The 1187-nt window shown below is 42.8% G+C and overlaps 1 annotated feature.

Annotated features, from left to right (window-relative positions):
* Nucleotides 1-203: a silencer, noted in NCBI's record as "fragment chr2:102304849-102305051 (GRCh37/hg19 assembly coordinates)". NCBI's record gives its function as "represses an EF-1alpha promoter that drives an FKBP-Casp9 reporter gene in an ReSE screen in K562 erythroleukemia cells {active_cell/tissue: K562}" and the evidence as "EXISTENCE:reporter gene assay evidence [ECO:0000049][PMID:32094911]".

The raw sequence follows: 1187 nt of genomic DNA, 5'->3' as shown, positions 1-1187 counted from the left end.
GACTTCTGAGCTCAGCAATCCACCCGCCTCAGCCTCCCAACGGACTAGGATTACAGGCATGAGCCACCATGCCTAGCCCTGCAACACACTTTACAAGGAGATCTCACAATGACTCACTCACTGTCTCGAAGACAGCACCAAGCCATGAGGGATCCACCCCCATGATCCAAACAACTCCCACCAGGCCCCACTTCCTGCATTGGGGGTTACAATTCAACATGAGGTTTGGGCCGGGACAAATATCCAAACTATGTCAACTTTAAACATTTTTTGTAATCATTGTCATGACCTGAGTAAAGAAATAGAAATGATGCAGGGGAGGGGCCGAGTGTGGTGGCTCACGCCTGTAATCCCAGCACTTTGGGAGGCCGAGGCAGGCGGATCACGAGGTCAGGATCGAGACCATCCTGACTAACACGGTGAAACCCTGTCTCTACTAAAAATACAAAAAAAAAAAAAAAAATTAGCTGAGCATGGTGGCGGGCACCTGTAGTCCCAGCTACTCAGGAGGCTGAGGCAGGAGAACGTCGTGAACCCGGGAGACGGAGCTTGCAGTGAGCTGAGATCCCGCCACTGCACTCCAGCCTGGGCGACAGAGCGAGATTCCATCTCAAAAAAAGAAAAAGAAAAAAGAAATGATGCAAGGGAGGGAATCCAGGAACTTGGGCTTTGGATTTGGTTCTACCAGAATCTACCGTTATAGTGGTTACATCACCCAACCTGGTATCTTGGGACTAAGTATGCATTAATTATCTGACACTTCCTTCTCATACTAACACATAGACCTGAGAGTGAGTTGTGACCCCATTCCAGTTTATTTAAGTGTGAGCTCAGTCTATTAGGGTCTATTTGGTAGCCTGCTTTTTAATTAAATAGCCTACCTCCTATTTCACTCAGAGCACATTTTAGGGAACTGATAAGATAATCTAAAGCATTTTTAACTCCTTCAAGAGTCAGATACAAGAGACTGTCTATAATAATAAAAATAGAAATCTAAAAGAAAGCTGCCAAACAATAATCTAGGCAACATTGACTACATTGAAAAATTTAAAGGATGTTTACAAAAGTTTGTAATAACATAGAGAATGAATGTTACAATATAAATTGAAAATATCACTACAAAATTTGTATGAGATTATGGTCATAGCCATGTAAAATTTTAAAACTATTCAGAGGAAAGATAATGG

This window comes from Homo sapiens, chromosome 2, assembly GCF_000001405.40.
Source record: "Homo sapiens chromosome 2, GRCh38.p14 Primary Assembly".
Classification (NCBI taxonomy): Eukaryota; Metazoa; Chordata; class Mammalia; order Primates; family Hominidae; genus Homo; species Homo sapiens.
Note: the sequence above shows the minus strand (reverse complement) of the source record. Positions and strands in the feature narration are given on the sequence as shown.